Source organism: Homo sapiens, chromosome 16, assembly GCF_000001405.40.
Source record: "Homo sapiens chromosome 16, GRCh38.p14 Primary Assembly".
Classification (NCBI taxonomy): Eukaryota; Metazoa; Chordata; class Mammalia; order Primates; family Hominidae; genus Homo; species Homo sapiens.
The window spans coordinates 12,322,234-12,340,708 of record NC_000016.10 but is presented as its reverse complement, the minus strand read 5'-3'; the positions used below and the strand labels follow the sequence as shown (position 1 = coordinate 12,340,708).

Here is an 18,475-nt window from a genome sequence, read left to right as displayed (position 1 = left end):
AGACAGGGGAGATCGTCCCTTCTGGTCCCTCCCGACTGTTCTCGCAGTTCTAGCCTCTTGTCTACCTGGCCACCAGGTGCAAGTTACTGATAATAACCTCACACTGCCCCCAAGTGGTCACTCTGCTCCAGATGACTCACAGACCAACGTTTCCAGAACTCCAAACACAAATCTGTTCAATGCAAAACCATGCTCTTCCCATTCTGTCTCCCACATCCATCCATCCTTACTATTACATGCCAAGCACTGTCTAGACACTGGGGATACAACAGGGAACAAACAGATAAAAGCTCCTTCCTCCTCTGAGCTTACATCCTAGAGCTCAAGGTTAGGAATGCTTACTGACTGAGGAACATTGTCTTTATGCCCCGTTACAGAGAATAGGACTTCAAACAAAAGGTTGGGCTTCAATAGAAATTCTCCTTCCTTTGCAGAGACCAGATTCTGCATCTGAGAAATTAACCAGGATTTCTACAGCTGCATTCCATTCTAGTTAGTTTCTCCAGGGAAGGAGAAGAAGGGGAGGAGGATGGAGAAGATGACGATGATGAAAACAAAGATGAAAAAGAAAACAATTTTTGGCTAAGAAACTAAACCTGATCATTATGTCTTGGATTTAAATCTAAAAAGTGATCGTCTCCAATTCCTCATTTGATGCTAAAAGACCCTTTTTCAGTGACCCTCATGGTGAACATCTCTCTTTTTCTCTCTGCCCAAGATGAATTCCCCTCTTTTTTGGCTAATGGAATCCTGCTTTTTCTTAAGAAACCACCTCTCTTCCTAGTGATCTGGGGAAGCTGACCAAACGCCCCCACTGACTGTTGGCCACGTGCCCTGGCCCTGCCAATGAGTGTATTTCATCCTTTAGCCACAGTGACTGGTTCAGGGATGGCAGAAGACTCAAGTCAGGCCAATAAGAGTCAATTCCAAGAATCTTGTTAGAGCTACTGGGAGAGAAACCCTCTCTTCATGACAAGAATTGCTAAGCTCATAGGACATAAGCTTGGAGCTGCTAGGATCCATCACATATAGAGAAAGCCTTCCTAAGAATGAAGACCACAAAAAAGAAAGCAGAGAGCAACAGCAGGAAGAGAACATCCACATTTGCTCATCTGACCTCTGGATGCAACCCTGCCAAAGGTTACACCAATCCTTGGATGTCCAGTTTTCATCACTCAAAAAGCTTCATTTCTTGTTAAGCCCAGTTTGAGTTTTCTGTCATTTGGATTAGAGTCCTGACTCACAGAGCCACCAAGTAACTGCCCAGTTTCTGCTTCAACACCTCCACTCACAAGAAACTCACTACCCATAATCTTTTTTTTTTTTTTTTTTTTTTTTGAGACAGAATCTCACTCTGTCGCCCAGGCTGGAGTGCAATGGCACGATCTCAGGTTACCACAACCTCTGCCTCCCAGGTTCAAGAGATTCTTCTGCCTCAGCCACACAAGTAGCTGGGATTACAGGCATGCGCCACCACGCCTGGCTAATTGTTTTTATATTTTTAGTAGAGACGGGGTTTCACCATGTTGGCCAGGCTGGTCTTGAACTCCTGACCTCAGGTGATCCACCTGCCTCAGCCTCCCAAAATGCTGGAATTACAGGTGTGAGCCACCATGCCCGGCTGCCACTTATTATGAAACAGTCATGATGGCGCAGGTCTCTTTCCACTGAATTCAAAGTTGTCTGTGTGTAGTCCTAGGACAGCCCATGACGGCCACAGGTGGAACAAGTTTAACCTCTCCCTCCATGTGACACTCCTAATCTGGGGGACTCTAAGCTGCAGGGCAGCATCATGAATCCTCCATCTGGAAACACTGTTATGATTTTGGGCCATATGTTGTTAAACATGTTTCTTTCAACCTCTTTCAATCAATAAATATTCCACAAGCGCCTCCCACATGGAAGGTGGGTCTGGGGGTGGGGATGGGGTAGGGGTCTGCAGGGAGAGATTCCATAGAGTCTCATCTCCCAGGCCCCTGCCACCCAGGAAGGCAACAGGTCAAGGATGATGTCCCTTATCAAGCTAGCCATTTCTGATTTGCCTATGGGGATATAGTATGGGCTGTGTGTTCTGGGAGACCTGGTGTGAATGCTGCTGTGTGACCTCACACAAATTACACAGCCTTTCTGAGACTCAGTTTTCTCATCTACAAGTGGAAACTTTAATGATACAGATTTCCTGAAGCTGTGAGGAGAACGTGACACCCCTTGTGGGAACCTGTGCACAACGCCTGATGCACGGTGAGAACCTAAGAGGGGATGAGCTTCCTTGTTCCCGGGAATACCTCCCGGGGGGAAGGCAGCCAAGGAAGGCAGTCCCTCTGCTGGTCTGATCCCCGATGAGCTTCCTTATTTACCCCCAGGGTTCTGAACATCCCCAGGGTTCTGAACAGAGTGTACTTCCCTTCCTCGCCCAACCCCACGGCTCATGAGTTGCCTCCACACTGCTTAAGAAAGTCTACTGGACTCCAACATTTTCCTTTTCAAAGAAAACAAAAGCCGTGGTTTCGGCAAACTGCAGAGGCGATGTCTGGTCTAAACAATTGATCCGCCTCCCACCTCCCTAATGACTCAGCCCCAGAAAACACTGATGACCCATTAGGTAGAAATCTACTTATGCTAAGAAAATAAGCCAAACACCGGTTCCAGGATGCACTGAATAGCTCCAAATGCAGGTGCTTCCTCGGCTCCTCTGGCAGTCGCTGTGAAGAGAACCTGGATTCAACCCAAAGACCGCAGCACTTTCAAGGTGAAGCGGCTGTGAGAGGGCCATGGAAGTGTCACCCGACCGTTCCTCGGCTGCAGAAACTTCCACTTGCAACCTGTTTTCTTCTTCGGAGCTTTTATACCCAGGACATAAAGAGGACTGTCCCAGACTTGAGATGATGAGGGAAGATGCTGACAATGGCAGCAAAATCTCAGGGTTTCTCCATGAGGCCATTGTCCTCACTCGGCCAGGGAAACCACGCCATCACCGTCACTGAATGACAATCCTTCCCTTCGTCCATAAAATCTGGGGCAAATGGGTCACATGTTTGCAAGTATTCTTCTTCAAAGTGAGATATGTGACTAGGTGAAGTGGCTCACACCTGTAATCCTAGCACTTTCGCAGGCCGAGGTGGGAGGATCGCTTGAACCCAGGAGTTTAGGACCAGCCTGGACAATATGGCAAAACCTCGTCTCTACAGAAAATATAAAAGTTAGCCGGGCATGATGGTACGTGCCTGTAGTCCCAGCTACTGGGGAAGCTGAGGTGGGAGGATCACTTGAGCCCAGGAGGTCGAGGCTGTGGTGAACCGAGATCGCACCACTGCACTCCAGCCTGGGTAGCACAGCAAGACCCTGTCTTGAACAACAACAACAACAAAACACCCATCGCATTGCATACCTTAAATCCACATAATTTCCCGTTACCATTTATACCTCAATATAGCTAAGTAAAAAAAAAAAATTAATATACCTATCTCCAGCAACTGTGGAGACAGTGTGACATAAAAGGAACCTCTGGAGGGAAGACAAACCTACTGCTGCCTCCCAGCCCCATCACCTGCCAGCTGGGTGGCCTTCAGAAGGTGACATGCTTTATGCAAACTCAGTTCCTTGTCTGTAAAAGAGTTTAGCACTACCTGCTGCCCAAGATGGTTAAGATCAAACTGAGAAAACATCTCCCAGGCCTGGCCAACTCTGGTGCTCAATGATGCCCAGTCCCTCTGCCTTCCAAGGCTTCTTGTGGTGTCTGTTTTTTGTTTGTTTGTTTGTTTTTGAGACAGGGTCTTACTTTGTTGCCCAAGCTGGAGTATGGTGGCACCATCATAGCTCACTGCAGCCACAACTTCCTGGACTCAAGTGATCCTCCCATATTAGCCTTCTGCGTAGCTGGGATTACAGGTACACATCACCACACCTGGCTAATTTTTTTCAATTTTAGTAGAGACGGAGTTTCACCATGTTGGCCAGTATGGTCTCCAACTCCTGGACTCAAGCGATCCTCCTGCTTCGGCCTCCCAAAGTGCTGGGATTACAAGCATGAGCTACTGTACTCAGCCAACAGAGTTCTCTCATACCTTGATGTTCCATCTCTAAAATGGAAGGACAGGTGACTTGTCACTTGCCAACCCTTCAGAATATACAATGAAGTGCAAATTTCACCACTCCAAATGCAAACCCTGAGTAAAGAGAAAACACAGTATTCCAATATCTTTTCTCTGAGGGGAAAAAATTTTAAGCTATGGGCATGACTGCAACACAAACCATCCAGTGAAACGTGCCAACACGTCCAGGCCAATCTCAACAACACGGTGACAGACACAGGGCAGCAGGGACACAGTTTCATGTCAAGATTTGTTGTTAAATTCTTGCCAAGAACTGCTCTGCCATCAAATTTATTTACGGCTTCTGTGTCAACGCAGGATGCTGAGCAGAGAGTCTATTCTGAATACCTTGGCTTTAACTGTGTTACAGTGAGCGCCAAACCAAAGCTTTCTCCCTACAGGCTGGAAGACCCGCAATATGAAGCCATTTCAACCTCCTGTTAGCTACTCTGAGAATAATCAATGTCTCTGGGTCTGTGGTGATGGCCTAATTTATTTAAAATGTAAATATTATATTTCTCTATGTCCCAAAATGCCAGCTGGTTCTTCTTCTTTGATTTAATAAGGGTTTCATAAAGATATCAAGTGCTGGGCCGTTGTCACAAACACAGACCCAGACAGACTGTCTTCCCGGATGTGCCTTGACCCACAGGAAGCAGGAGAGGGTAGCGGTGGAGGTGGAGTCCAACTGCCTGGGTTCAAATCCTGATCCTGCCAGTGATGAGCCACATGAGCTTGAGCATGTGGTGATCCTGCCTGGGCCTTGGCGTCCTCATTAGTAAACGGGAAGGATAACTATGGTACCCAGTTCACTGAGTTATTGTGAAAAATTCACTGAAATAATCTGGGGAAGGCACTTAACACACTGTCTAGCACATAAAGAAATGCAAAGAGCATTGGCTGCTCTCATCATGACCACCAGCTTCCCCCAAACCCCCAACGCTGACACGGTCTCACTCCGTCACCCCGTCTGGAGTGCAGCAGCACCATCGTAGCTCACTGCAGCCTCAAATGCCTAGGCTCAAGAGATCCTCCCACCTCAGCCTCCTGAGTAGCTGGGAATACAGGCACATGCAACCATGCCCAGCTAATTTTTTTAATGTTTTGTAGAGATGGGGTGGGAGGGGTCCTCCCTATGTTGCCCAGGCTGGTCTTGAACTCTTGACCTGAAGAGATCCTTCCATCTTGGCCTCTCAAAGTGCTGGGATTACAGGTGTGAGCCACTGCACCTGGCCTTATAGTCACCACTAAACATCACTGATTTGAGCTTTTTTTGCTTGATGAAATGAATTCTTATACTCCCAGCAGCAAGAGTTTCACTTCAAGTAAAATTAAAGAATCTTTTCCAAGTCTGGATGACTCCTCCCCCTACCTCCCTGCTGTCCTGGAGTTCAAGGCCCTCAAAGATCTATAACTCAGACATTTAAGACAATAGCGAGATGATGATCCACCTTCCTGGAGATTGCAGCCCCTCTGTCCTGGGACACCACTCTGGGAAGTGCTGCTAAGTGTCCTGCTCCCCTGCTGCAGATGATGTCATTTCCCACAGGAACGGTAGTGAAGCGACAGTCAACCTCCCCTCACATGCATCTTGGCAGGGTTTGTTTTCTGACGCATATTCGCTGACGGAATGCTCAGTCGATGACAGGCCCAAAGGTTTGTGTATGACATCAAATTTGAAAGACTGTTGCTTTTTAAAAAAAAAAAAAAAAAAAAGGCTCTGGGGCTGATAACTTAAAGCAAAAGGGGCTGACACAAATGCCTATAGGGACCAGGCAGGTAAAATAATTGAGAGAAGCAGGCTAGGTGGGGATGGGGTGACATGGTGAGGACTGCCCTCTTGAAAACAGGGCCACCACTACTGAGCCCCAAGTGAACACACCCACCTATGTGGGAGCTTTCCATTTTCTCAAGGGAAATTGGAAATAGTGAGCTTTATGGGAAATGGCCCGAATGTTCAGCATTGTCAATAAATTCAATCCTAAAAACCGAATTAGCCAAATCAAACAGATCTATGGGCTATATGCAGCCCAGGATGCCAGATTCTTATCTTTGATTTAAAGGGGTCCCATAATGTTTGCGGGGAAGGATACTTTGTCATCAGAATAGCATCCCTGTGTCCCTGTTTTATGCATCAAGATTAAGTGAAATCATTCATGCAAAGTGGTTTGCACGGTGCCGAACACAAAAGAACATTCGAATGCACCCGGGGATGATTTTTTTCCCCAAGGTGGGACTCACCTACACAGGAAGACAGAGCTTCACAAAAGCGAAGCCCCAGACCTCAAAGTCTCTCATGTTTCTCTACCAAAGGACCCACCAACAAACAGTTGCTGTGAAAGTTGCCCCAAGCTAAGCGAGTTCCTTGGCGGTGTGCTTTGTTTCAAAACATGCCATCCCAAAGATCTCCAGACTGCTTAGGTTTTTAAACCAACATTTGTCATTTTGCTGCACTTGTCTTTACTCAAAACCTCAAAGACCTAAAGTGGATGGCTTCAGAGGTGACAGTGTCTTTGAAGTGTTTCCCTACGTCTAGCTGAAAGGGATGAGCCATGTTTTCGCTTCCCTACAAGGCCGTCTAAAAATTAAACATCCCAGATATTTAACAAACACACCCATCAGCCACAGGGGAAGACAAGGAACATCCCCATGAGGTTACATTCATTTCAGTGAGATGGCAAAGATAAATGCAGGGCACGGAAACGCGGGATGCATCTGCCTGGCAGCCACACCTGTCATTCTCCATTCGGGTCTCTGAGAATAACTGGAATGGACCTGGCTAAACATGGCCTTTTCTACCTCAGCCATCCTACAGGGTAGGACCCTCCTTCCTGCCCAGTCCCCAGGACATAGGCTCTGTGAGAGATACAGATAATGGCTGAAGTAATAAGACCTTCTCACCTGCTTGGGAAGAAATTCTTATCAGGAGCCATGAAAAGATTAGAGAGTCCGGACTGGGAGCCCTGGGGAAGAGGAAATCACACCCTCTTCATCACAGCTACAAGCCCAACACCTAGACAGCACCAGGCCCATCACAGGTGCTTGATAAATGTTGTTGAATGAACAAAGGTACACTGAATTCAGCACACCCATACTGATCATTGATCAGATGTAATTGATCAAATTACTTAATCTCTGAGCTTCAGCTTTCTTCTCTCTCAAACAGGGAAAACTCTACCAACATCCTAAGAGTTGTAAAAATTAACTGATTGCGGCCAGGTGCGGTGGCTCACGTCTGTAATCCCAACACTTTGGGAGGCCGAGGCAGGCAGATCACGAGGTCAGGAGTTCAAGACGAGCCTGACCAATATGGTGAAATCCCATCTCTACTAAAATACACAAAAATTAGCCGGGCATGGTGGCACGCACCTGTAGTCCCAGTTACTTGGGAGGCTGAGGCAGGACAATCACTTGAACTTGGTAGGCGGAAGTTGCAGTGAGCCAAGATCGCACCACTGCACTCCAGCCTGGACAACAGAACAAGACTCTGCCTCAAAAAAAAAAAAAAAAATTAACTGATTGCCTGCAAAACATTTGTGAATGAACAAATGCACACTGCTAAATATCCAGGATGCTAAATACTCCATTCCCTTCATTCTTTCCTCCCTTCTTCCATTTCCTCCCCTCTGAAATACTGCCTGCGGAGCGTCTGTACATGCACACTAACCGCACGAGCAGGGGTGGCCATGAGGGTCTCAAAGCGGGCCCAGGAGAGAAGTGAGCTTGGAGGTGAGGCTTGAAGGACGAGGGCACATGGAGTGACGAAGCAGGCGGGCAACAGCAGCCAAGACGAAATGAAAGAGGAGCAGACAGGACCGTGAGGACTGACGAGGAGACCAGAGGCCAGAAGAACCAAGGGCAGGAATGGGGAAGTGCTAGAGATCAGGCTGGGAGGATAAGAGAAAGACAGAGGTGCCCAACCCTGGTGGCGGCCAGGGGCTGGGATGCAGGTGGACCTGGAAGGTGGGCCTAAGGACGGGGTTCTTGAGCGTCAAAAGCACCTGCCCATGGACCTCGGGGGAGCTCACAACCACTCCACCATGCAGCACTGGGTCTTCCTCAAGCTTTGTGATCATGGCCTTCAATATGACGAGGACGGGGGAGGATAGAGTCATCACTTTAACAGGCAAAAGGCGCACAAAGAGAGTAACACATTTTTAAAACGCCACCAATAACACAGCTTTAACAAGCCTTTCCTAACAGGCACGACTAGCAAATGAGCAACCCAGCTAGATGCCAAAGTTAATTTGCTCAGAAACTATGGAAAATGACGGAGCTTCATGCAGGGGAAAGCCAGATGCAACCATTTGGCAACGAGCTGAAGACACGCACTTGTGCATGCATATGCCCGTGCACACACACACAAACACACACAAGGACGCAAGTGCACACACCGCACGCACACCTGGCTCTGAGTCAGGTGAAAGTTCATTTTCCCTGACCATCAATTTTCTTCTAGGATGAGGATAATAGTAATAATGTTAATAACAGCATCAGTAACAGCAAAAGTAAGTAATGCTCACATTGTAAATTATTTCTTTATTATTATTATTTTTTTGAGATGGAGTTTCGCTCTGTCACCCAGGCTCCAGTGCAGTGGCATGATCTTGGCTCACTGCAGGCTCCACCTACTAGGTTCAAGCGATCCTCCTGTGTCAGCCTCCCAAGTAGCTGGGACTACAGGCGTGCGCCACCACTTGCCTGCTAAGGTTCCTGGGGCATTCACTGTGCTTGGCCAAATTGTTTAATTCTTAAAACAATATTCTGGCCAGGCATGGTGGCTCACACTTGTAATCCCAGCACATTGGGAGGCTGAGGCAGGCAGATCACCTGAGGTCAGGAGTTCAAGACCAGCCTGGCCAACATGGTGAAACGACATCTCTACTAAAAATACAAAAGTTAGCCAGGTGTGGAGGCGGGCGCCTGTAGTCCCAGCTACTTCAGAGACTGAGGCAGGAGATTTGCATGAACCCAGGAGGCAGAGGCTGCAGTGAGCCAAGATCGCTGCCACTGCACTCCAGCCTGGGCAACAGAGTGAGACTTCATCTCAAAAACAAAAAAATTCTGGAACAGGTCTTCTGTGTTCTCATTTCACAGGTGGGGAAACTGAGGCTCAGAGACATTAAGGAACATGCCCACAATGACACAGTGTGTCAGATACAACACCTCATGCTCTCAGCACCTATACGTACGCTATGCTGCTTCAAATGCTTTTTGGAATAAGACCAGGTAAAAATGAATAAAAATTAAATCAAAGTTTAGACAGCTTCTGTGTCTTTTTCTGGTACCAAGCTAGGCCCAAGAAATGCATGACCAAGGGACCCACTTGGAGCACGTAGAGAAGGCTCTGTCCTGTAAATCTCATGATCTCTGTGTAGGAGTTTCTAGGAGTGAAACCGGGCAGCCAAGCCCAGCAGCCTGGAAAGTTGGGCTCAGCAGCTGAGGCCAAAGCTCTCTCTGGAGAAGGGCCAGTCAGGCCTGCCAAGCTCATACCAGCAGAGGATTCAAGGTAGGAGCCCATGGGGTGCAATCCACAGCCCCCTTCCAAACACAGACACAGGCTCTGAAGCAAGGAACTGTAGTTGGCTACAGAGGCCCAAAGAAGATGAGAAACTGAATTGCTCCCAGTGTGTGGACAACAGTCAAGGAAGCCTTCTGCAGCCTATAAGCCAGGGGGCTAGCATGCCTGGAGTGGCCAACCACATTCTGTGTCAGGGCTCTGCCCCAGGAGCCTTTGCAGGCAAGTGCAGGGAAGACCAGCTTTTCCATCTGAACGTGAAGCTGCACCCAAACTCCTCCATCCGCCAGACCTACACTGGGCTGCTGAGTGACCAAATAGAATCCAGGCCTAAAAATATCTGAAGTGATTTTCTGGGAGCAAGGATGCCACCCTCAGCCCTGAAACCTGCCACAAGCGCCGCCAGGACTCGCGTGCTGGTTAAGAACCAGGGCTCTGGGGTCCAGCCGCCTGGCTCCGCTGCCTGCAAAGATGTCACCTCAGGCTACTATTTCAACCCACTGGGACTCAGTTTCCATATTCTGTAAAAAGGTGACAATGGTGACCACCTGTCGTCCAGAGCTGTCGGGAGGATTAAACAGTTCGCAGTGAAAGCGTGGCTCACAGATGCATTGCGTGAGTGTTAACTATCATTACTTATGACCGTCAAGCCCATTTCAGGCTGGAGTGCCGTGGTGTGATCTCAGCTCACTGCAACCTCTGCCTCCTGGGTTCATGCGATTCTCCTGCCTCAGCCTCCCGAGTAGCTGGGATTAGAGGCGTCCGCCACCATGCTTGGCTAATTTCTCTATTTTTACTGGAAATGGGGTTTCGCCATGTTGGTCAGGCTGGTCGCCAGGTGAGGAAACAGGCACAGAGAGGTTAAGTCGTTTACTCAAGGCCACAAGGGGACCACCATTTCCTGAGCACATCTCTGTCCCAGGCACCAGGCCAACTGTTTCACATCACTGATCCTGAGCCTCCCGCAACAACAACAAAAGTGACTAATACTTAAGCTGTAAATTATTTAATTCTCAAAACAACATTCTGCAATGGGTCTTCATTATCCCCATTTCACAGACAGGGAAAATGAGGTTCAGAGATGTTGAGGAGTGTGCCCATCAGGATAGTGTCTCAGACGCAACAGCCCAAGCTCCTGCACCTATCTGTAAGATATGCCACTCAAATGCCTTTTGGAACAAGACAGGGTATAAATAACTGTTAACGCGTCTTAGTCCCTTCAGAAAAAAACAGCTCTTGTCAAAGAGGAACAGTGATCTTTGTGCTATTCAAAGAACAGGTCTGAAAAATACAAGTCAAGTCATTCAACAGAAGCTGAAAAGAGAAGGGCCACTTGGCATGTGTGCCAACACCTCAATCCCACCTGAGTGATCTGAAGCAGAGGACTCGTTGCCAGTGAACTGTGAGCCAACGCATAGCAGAAAAACATGCTTAGCAGCTGGCATGGATAGACACGAAGGTAATACACACTCCTGTTTATTGCATAGGGCTGTGTGGGGTACAAATCACTCTCCAATCATTTATGCCACTGAAAAATACAATCATAAAAACCATTAAGAGGAGGGCTAGTTCCCAGCTAGGAACCAAATTATCTTTACCAGACAACACTGGTCAGTCCTGCGGTTTATGTGCCAGGCACCATGCAAGTGGCTGGGATGACAAAACCCAGTAAGCCAGCACCTGCCTGTGGAGAGTTCAACTGGACACAGCTGCTAGTAGCAACCCAGTATCCATCCCAGGTCTTTGCCTACAGTTGCTAAGCTGCTGAGATGGACGCCTAGAGCTACTGGGGGTATTTTTTCACTTTTTTTTTTTTTTTTTTTGAGACAAGGTCTCACCATGTTGCTCAGGCTGGAGTGCAGTGGCATAATCATAGCTCACTGCAGCCTTGAACTCCTGGGCTCAAGAGATCCTCCTGCCTCAGCCTCCTGAGTAGCTGGGACCACAGGTACGCACCACCATGCCCAGCTCAATTTTGTTTTCTATTTTTTGTAGAGACTGGGTCTCCTGATGTTGCCTAAGCTGGTCTTGAACTCCTGACCTCAAGCCATCCTCCTGCCTCAGCCTCCCAAAGTGTTGGGATTACAGGTGTGAGCCATCATGCCTGGCCAGGGGGTTATTTTGTCACTGTAGATGAAAAGCCCACCAAGGATGAAGCCAAGATAGGAAACTGAGCCCAGGGAACCAGGGAGACAGTGTCCCGACATCACATCGCTTCAGCTCCCACATCCAGCCATACCTTCAGCCAGCATTCTCAGAATTGTCTGTTACATGAGCCAATCAACTCCATCTTTGCCTAAATCATTTAAAGAAGCATTTGTGGCAATAATGAAAAAAAAGTCTGAGTAAAACAGGGAGAGATACACAGATGAAAATAAGACTTAGCAGACTGTGATAGAAATGTGTTCAAATTTAGAGGGCATCCAAGTGAAAGGATGAACGATTCTTTTCCAAGAAAGGTTTGAATGTGGTAAGACAGTGGAGCTGACCGAGAAGTCAGAGAACCAAGGCCTCTGGGGACAGAGAACGAGGAATCTGGGCACACAGGTATCACTCATGTTCCAGAAGTCCTCCTGCCCACAGCCTCACCCTGGCTGAGAGTCAAGTGCTTTGGGGCAGAGGTCATAGCCTGTGCTTCTAAGAGTTGTTAACACTGTGAAAAATATTGTCACTGGGGATGTGAGGCAGCCAAGGGCTTTCTGTTTGGCTTGTAGAAGAATTTTCTTTACTTCTAAGATACATGAAACCACAAATGCATCACTTTTCAAGTTAGTTGCTACAATAAATAATCTATAGCTGAAAGGCCAAGAGATATCAACAAGCTAGAAACATCGCTGGCTGAGGGTAATACAAACAGTAGTAGTAAAATAATAAAAGCAACAGCTAGGATAAAAGAACAACTAGAGTTTATTGAGGTCTACTCTGCGGGAGGCACTGTGCCAAACGTGCCATATGCAGATTCTCAATCTTCCCACGACTACAAGGGAGAGGTATGTGCAGCTCCATTTTACCAATGGGCAACCCGAGGCTCTGGAAAGTGGTGTCCTGCCTAAGCTGGCTTTAGAAACCCACAACAGTCTGACTTTGTGACACTGCTCATGCCACCAGCTGACAGTGTCTGAATATGGTCTCCGGGTGGGGTTCAACTCCACACGGAGATTATGCGGAAATCCACAGGACGGTGCCATGAGCAGGATGGTGGCAGGAAGGGCCCTGTCCACCTGGCCCTCAGTAGAATGATGCTCAGACCTAATCCCAAATGGTCACCTCATGGGAGTGACCTCAACAGGGGACCCAATTTAGGACCCTTCCTGCCTGTCCTCCCTGCAAGCATCAACAGCCTGACTTCTGGTTTCCTCTCTCTGTCTCTCTCCGGCTCTGTTTCCATGTGCCAAGCAACTCCATCTATTATAGGCTGAACTGTGTCACCCCGTAATTCACATGTTCAAATCCAAACCCCCAGTACTTGAGAATGTGACTATACCTGCAGACAGAGGCTTTAAGGAGGTAACTAAGGGTAAATGAGGTCATTAAGGTGGGCCCTAACCCAACACGACTGTTAATCTCCTCTTCTTAGAAGGACAAGACAGAGTCATGCAGAGAAGAAAGACCACAGTGGGAAGACGGCCGTCTATAAACCAAGGAGAGAGGCCTCAGAAAACAACCCTGCCGACACCTTGATCTCAGCCTTCCAGCCTCCGGAAGGTGAGAAGATACATTTCTGTGATGACACCCAACCCATGGTACTCTGTTAGGGCAGCTCTAGCTAATTAATACACCATCCAATCTCCTCAAACTACAGGACGCCCATCCTGCTACAAAGGCTGATGTCACTCAGAAGCTTAAAAAGACCCCATCACTAGAAAGGAAGCTTTATGGGGGCTGCGATTTCACTGATACTGACCAAGACAGTAACATGACTGACACAAAAAACATGAAATTAAGCCAGGGGGACTGTTTTATTGACTTACAGGGGGAAGACAGAGGTTGTCCAACAGGATATAAAGGGACCCACGAAGAGGGGTCATGTGGTTCCTATAGGATGACACCTCCGATTCTCACAGAGCAACCCAGCAGCCCATCAGCCCCATCGGTCAACCCCATCATCAGCCACGCCCCCAAAGCCTTCAGTGTTTCTCTCCAACTGCAGCAGCTGCCCCCATTCCTAATCCAGTCTTTCCCAAATGCCTCGGACCTTGGCCCACAGTAATAAAAAGCACCACGTTCCAACCAAATGGGGTTGCCCCCACCTCACACCTCCCGCAAGGCCCAGTGGCCCATGCCCTACCACACTGCCCCAGCCTCAGTGCCACCTGCACCACAGTACCACAAGCTAGTATAATATCCACTGTACTCCAAGAAAACAACAGCACAGAGAAACTTGTCCAGGATTGGAGACTTGGGAGTGACTTAAATCCAAACCTAGGTCACCAGATTCCAGACTCCACACAGGGGCCAGCAAGTTACAGCCCCGGGCCAAAGCCAGCCCCAGTGCCCGTTTTTGCACATAAAGTTTTCTTGGAACACAATCCCACCCATTCATTTATGTATCACCTATGACTGCCTGTGAGACACACCGGCAGAGCTGAGCAGATGTGACAGAGACCACATGGCCATCACACCGGACATGTTTCCGACACAGCCCTTTACAGAAAGTTTGCCAACTTGCCCAGTACTCATGCCTCCATGCCATGCCCACCTGGTTCAACCCTTCCAGGGCCCCTCCCAACCTGACTGCCCCTCACACCTGGACAGGGAAAAAAAAAAAAAGACAAAAAAGCTATATATTTATTTGGCTGGGCTCACACCTGTAATACCAGCACTTTGTGGGGCCAAGGCGGGCAGATCACCTGAGAGGTCAGGAGTTCAAGACCAGCCTGGCCAACATGGCGAAACCCCATCTCTACTAAAAAATATACAAAAATTAGCCAGACGTGGTGGCACGTGCATGTAGTCCCAGGCACGAGAATCGCTTGAACCCGGGAGGCAGAGGTTGCAGTGAGCCAAGATCGCACCACTGCACTCCAGCCTGGGCACCAGAGTGAGGCTCCATCTCAAAAAACAAGAAAAAAAGACAGGGTCTCCCTCTGGTGCCCAGGCTGGAATGCAGTGTGTGATTACAGCTCACTGCAACCTCGACCTCCTGGGCTCAAGCAATCTTCCTGCCTCAGTCTCCCTGAACAGTCGAAACTACGGGTACATGCCCCCACACCCAACTAATAGCTTTAAAAAATTTTTAGAGACAGGATCTTGTTGTGTTGTCCAGGCTGGTCTTGAACTCCTGGCCTTAAGCAATTCTCCTGCCTTGGACCCTCAAAACATTGGGATCACAGGCATAACCCCCTGTGCCTGGCCAAAAATTATATTTAAATATAATCCCGCTGATAAAATAAGGAGCAAATCTACTTCTCTGTATATTCTTTTGTTCTCAGAAATTGCCAAGATGTCAACCTCACACAAGATAATAAATAAGAAGAACCAGCAAAGTGCTTCCAAATATTTAATTAATGCATTTTATCTGCTTCACTACCTGAGAACAATGGGCCACAGGTTGGAAGAGCAAGTCTAAACTTCAGCAATGAGTTCTTGCTTTTATAAAATGCTTGTCACAACCTTAATATTACTTAAATGTAGTTTTTTCCCATTATTGTTAATTAGGTTTTCCCTAACAGTCGGAATCACAATTAACCTTCAAATAAGAGCTGCCAGAATGCATTTAAATAATTTTCGCAAAGGAAACCTCTTCTACCTGGCATTGGCTTTTCAATCCTTCCTCTTAGGCGGTTTCCTTGTCAAATTAAAATCTGTTATGATACCATGCAAATAAATGTCTGTGACATTCCAACATTTCTGCTCTTTCTTAAAAATGCCTTTCAGAGGGTCACACTGGAAGGGCTATAGTCAAAATGCAGACATTTCAGATTTCTATTCTTTCTTGCCATTAGGGAGGGGCCTGCAGAAGTAGAGATGGGATACATTGCTAGCGAAGGGCAAAATTTTGCAAAGGAAAGTCAGTTAAAAACTGGGGGCAGTTACATTGTTTTCTGTCTTTCACAAGGCTGTCGTTCTACAAGATTGCTGTAATATACCCATCACTGTGGAGAATTATATAAAGGGCCAGTGGGAGAAAAAACCCTCCTGAGTAAAGCCACCCAAGAGCTTGCGTCCCGGTTGAAACGCTGTTTTTATTGTCATTGTTCTAATTTCCCTGGGTATCTTTCATTACCTAGTGGAGTTTGGGGGCTTCAGAAGTGGGTGTTTGGGTAGCCTGGGAGGTTTCGGTTTTCAGCAACCTCCCAGATAGATGGATTGCTGGGTCAGGAGGCCCGTTTGTCAGCTCTGAGCTGTGTTCATGGCACTGTTTATCATCAAAGGGACTAGGAGATGGGCTGGGGGCCGAGAATAGAGCTTTAAAGTCAACAATGCAGGTAGCAGGAGAGGGGAAGGGGATCAATTCACAAATGGGCTTAGACCAGAGGTTGCAAACAGGTTTTGCTCACCCAGTACAATTTTAAAAAAGAAAACATTGACAGGCACAGTGGCTCAGGCCTAGAATCTCAACACTTTGGGAGGCTGAGGCAGAGGATCGCCTGAGCCCAGGAATTTGAGAACAGCCTGGGCAACATGGCCTGACTCCATCTCCACAAACAAACAAACAAACAAAAAACAGATGCCAGCACTGAAATGCCAAGAGCATTTCCACAGGGCGAGAATCAGCTGGAGAGGAGAAAGGTCATCCTGTTTGGACACTCCTGTCTTCCTCCCAGTCCTCCTGGGACTTCATGCCTCATTATACCACTGGCCTGGAACTTGCTGGCATCCAAGTTGCCTCTGCAGCACCGAGAGACCAGTGGTGATGGGCTGCTCAGTTTTCTGAGGCTCCAAGGATGCTGTCCTCAATGTAAACTCATGGGACCCCCCCAAAAGCCCATGGAATGACCCCCAAAAATGCCTAGAACAGGTCCCAGTCTCATGTGAAAGTTTATAATCACATGAGGAAACAAACCCCAGCACACTGCGATGGTCCAATCTGGGTCTCTGCAGACTGGCTGGATCTCAGGCCCCATGGATAAATTGAGGGAGTACGTCATATTCTTCTCTAGGATCAGTTTGATCACAGAACACTTACAATCAATCTCTATATTTTCAAATTGAAAATATTCCTTAAAAAGTCTGGAACAGTTTAAACAACAACTTAAACCAGTAATAATAAAAGTTAGTACTTAACAACTGCATGTCATACATGAAGACATTTGAAAATACTGCTCCATCTAGTCCCAACATCTCTGGGAGGGAGGTCCACATCACAGATGAAGAAGACGAGGCACAGGGAAGGGATAAAAATGGCACTCAAACTCCAGGCCACCTGGCTTCAGTGCCCACACCCTTAATCACCCCACCAGTGTCTCCCCAAGCATGGAACTCGGAAACCAAGATGGTTTTCTGTGGTGCCTGGATACGACAGTGAACAATGCTGGATGCCAGACAAAGCTTTTCCCTTTCTCATGCCTTCTCAGTCTTTCAAGTCGAGGCTCATCTGCCTTTGCCTGCTAACCTTTGTTCACCATTTTTTTTTTTTTTTAAAACCTCTAGGCAGACTACAGTGGCTGACTAGACACTAACCTACTGTTTTGTATTCATCATGGTACTTTTGAAGTTATTTTTCTATTGATGGCAAATGATGCTCGTTTTCTTTACAAATGAGTTTACTTTAGGTAAAAAGTGAGAGAAAATTTAAAGAAAATATTAAATCAGTAGTGGTGGGCAGACAGCACAACTCACGACTGGAGAAAAGGAATGACTCAAAGTAACGACATTAAAATGCCACAGCACAGAAATGACTCTAGTGACTCCAGTGACCACATCCTGACAGTGGTCCCCGGTGACTCCAGTGACCACATCCTGACAGTGGTCCCCGGTGACTCCAGTGACTCCAGTGACCACATCCTGACAGTGGTCCCCAGTGACTCCAGTGACCACATCCTGACAGTGGTCCCCGGTGACTCCAGTGACCGCATCCTGACAGTGGTCCCCGGTGACTCCAGTGACCGCATCCTGACAGTGGTCCCCAGTGACTCCAGTGACCGCATCCTGACAGTGGTCCCCGGTGACTCCAGTGACCGCATCCTGACAGTGGTCCCCGGTGACTCCAGTGACCGCATCCTGACAGTGGTCCCCGGTGACTCCAGTGACCGCATCCTGACAGTGGTCCCCAGTGACTCCAGTGACCGCATCCTGACAGTGGTCCCCTAGTGACCGCATCCTGACAGTGGTCATCAGTGATTCCAGTGACCATATCCTGACAGTGGCCCCCTACTGACTGCATCCTGACGGTGGTCCCCCAGTAACTCCAGTGACTGCATCCTGACGGTGGTCTCCAGTGACCAAGTCCTGACGGTGGTCCCCAGCGACCGCGTCCTAATGGTAGTCCCCAGTGACTGCATCCTAATAGAGGTCTCCAGCACAGGATGCTTGAGATGATCCCCAAGTTACCCAAAGGAGTATTAGAACTCCACCTTAGTTTCTATTCATCATCTTTAATAAGTTCCTGATTTTTGTTTTGTATATTATAAAGAATCTATGTACACTACAAACAAACAAATGTATATTGCAGTAACCCACAATTCTTTTTAACAATTGGATATGTGATCAGAGAAGTTTCTCAAATCCAGGACTAGACTCTGTACTTTACATGGGACAGAATCCCAAGAGAACTGTCATGAACACTAGGTGCTGGAGTCCAGGGTCCCCTCCCTGCCCTCTCTTGCGATAGCCCCTGATTTCCACCAGAGACCCTATGCAGTTCTGGGCAAGCTGACTCCTCGCCCAGCTCCAGCGTGGAACACAGGATGTAGGTTAGGCCACT

The 18,475-nt window shown here is 47.8% G+C and overlaps 1 protein-coding gene across 19 annotated transcripts in view, besides 1 other annotated feature; it reads right to left on the bottom strand.

Annotated features, from left to right (window-relative positions):
- The window catches only part of SNX29 (sorting nexin 29), a 597,554-nt gene that overhangs the window by 233,579 nt on the left and 345,500 nt on the right, over positions 1-18,475 (bottom strand). The window lies entirely within an intron of this gene.
- Positions 7,962-8,462: an enhancer, noted in NCBI's record as "H3K4me1 hESC enhancer chr16:12426104-12426604 (GRCh37/hg19 assembly coordinates)". NCBI's record gives its function as "activates a minimal SCP1, AML or CMV promoter by ChIP-STARR-seq in naive H9 embryonic stem cells {active_cell/tissue: H9 hESC(naive)}" and the evidence as "EXISTENCE:reporter gene assay evidence [ECO:0000049][PMID:30033119]".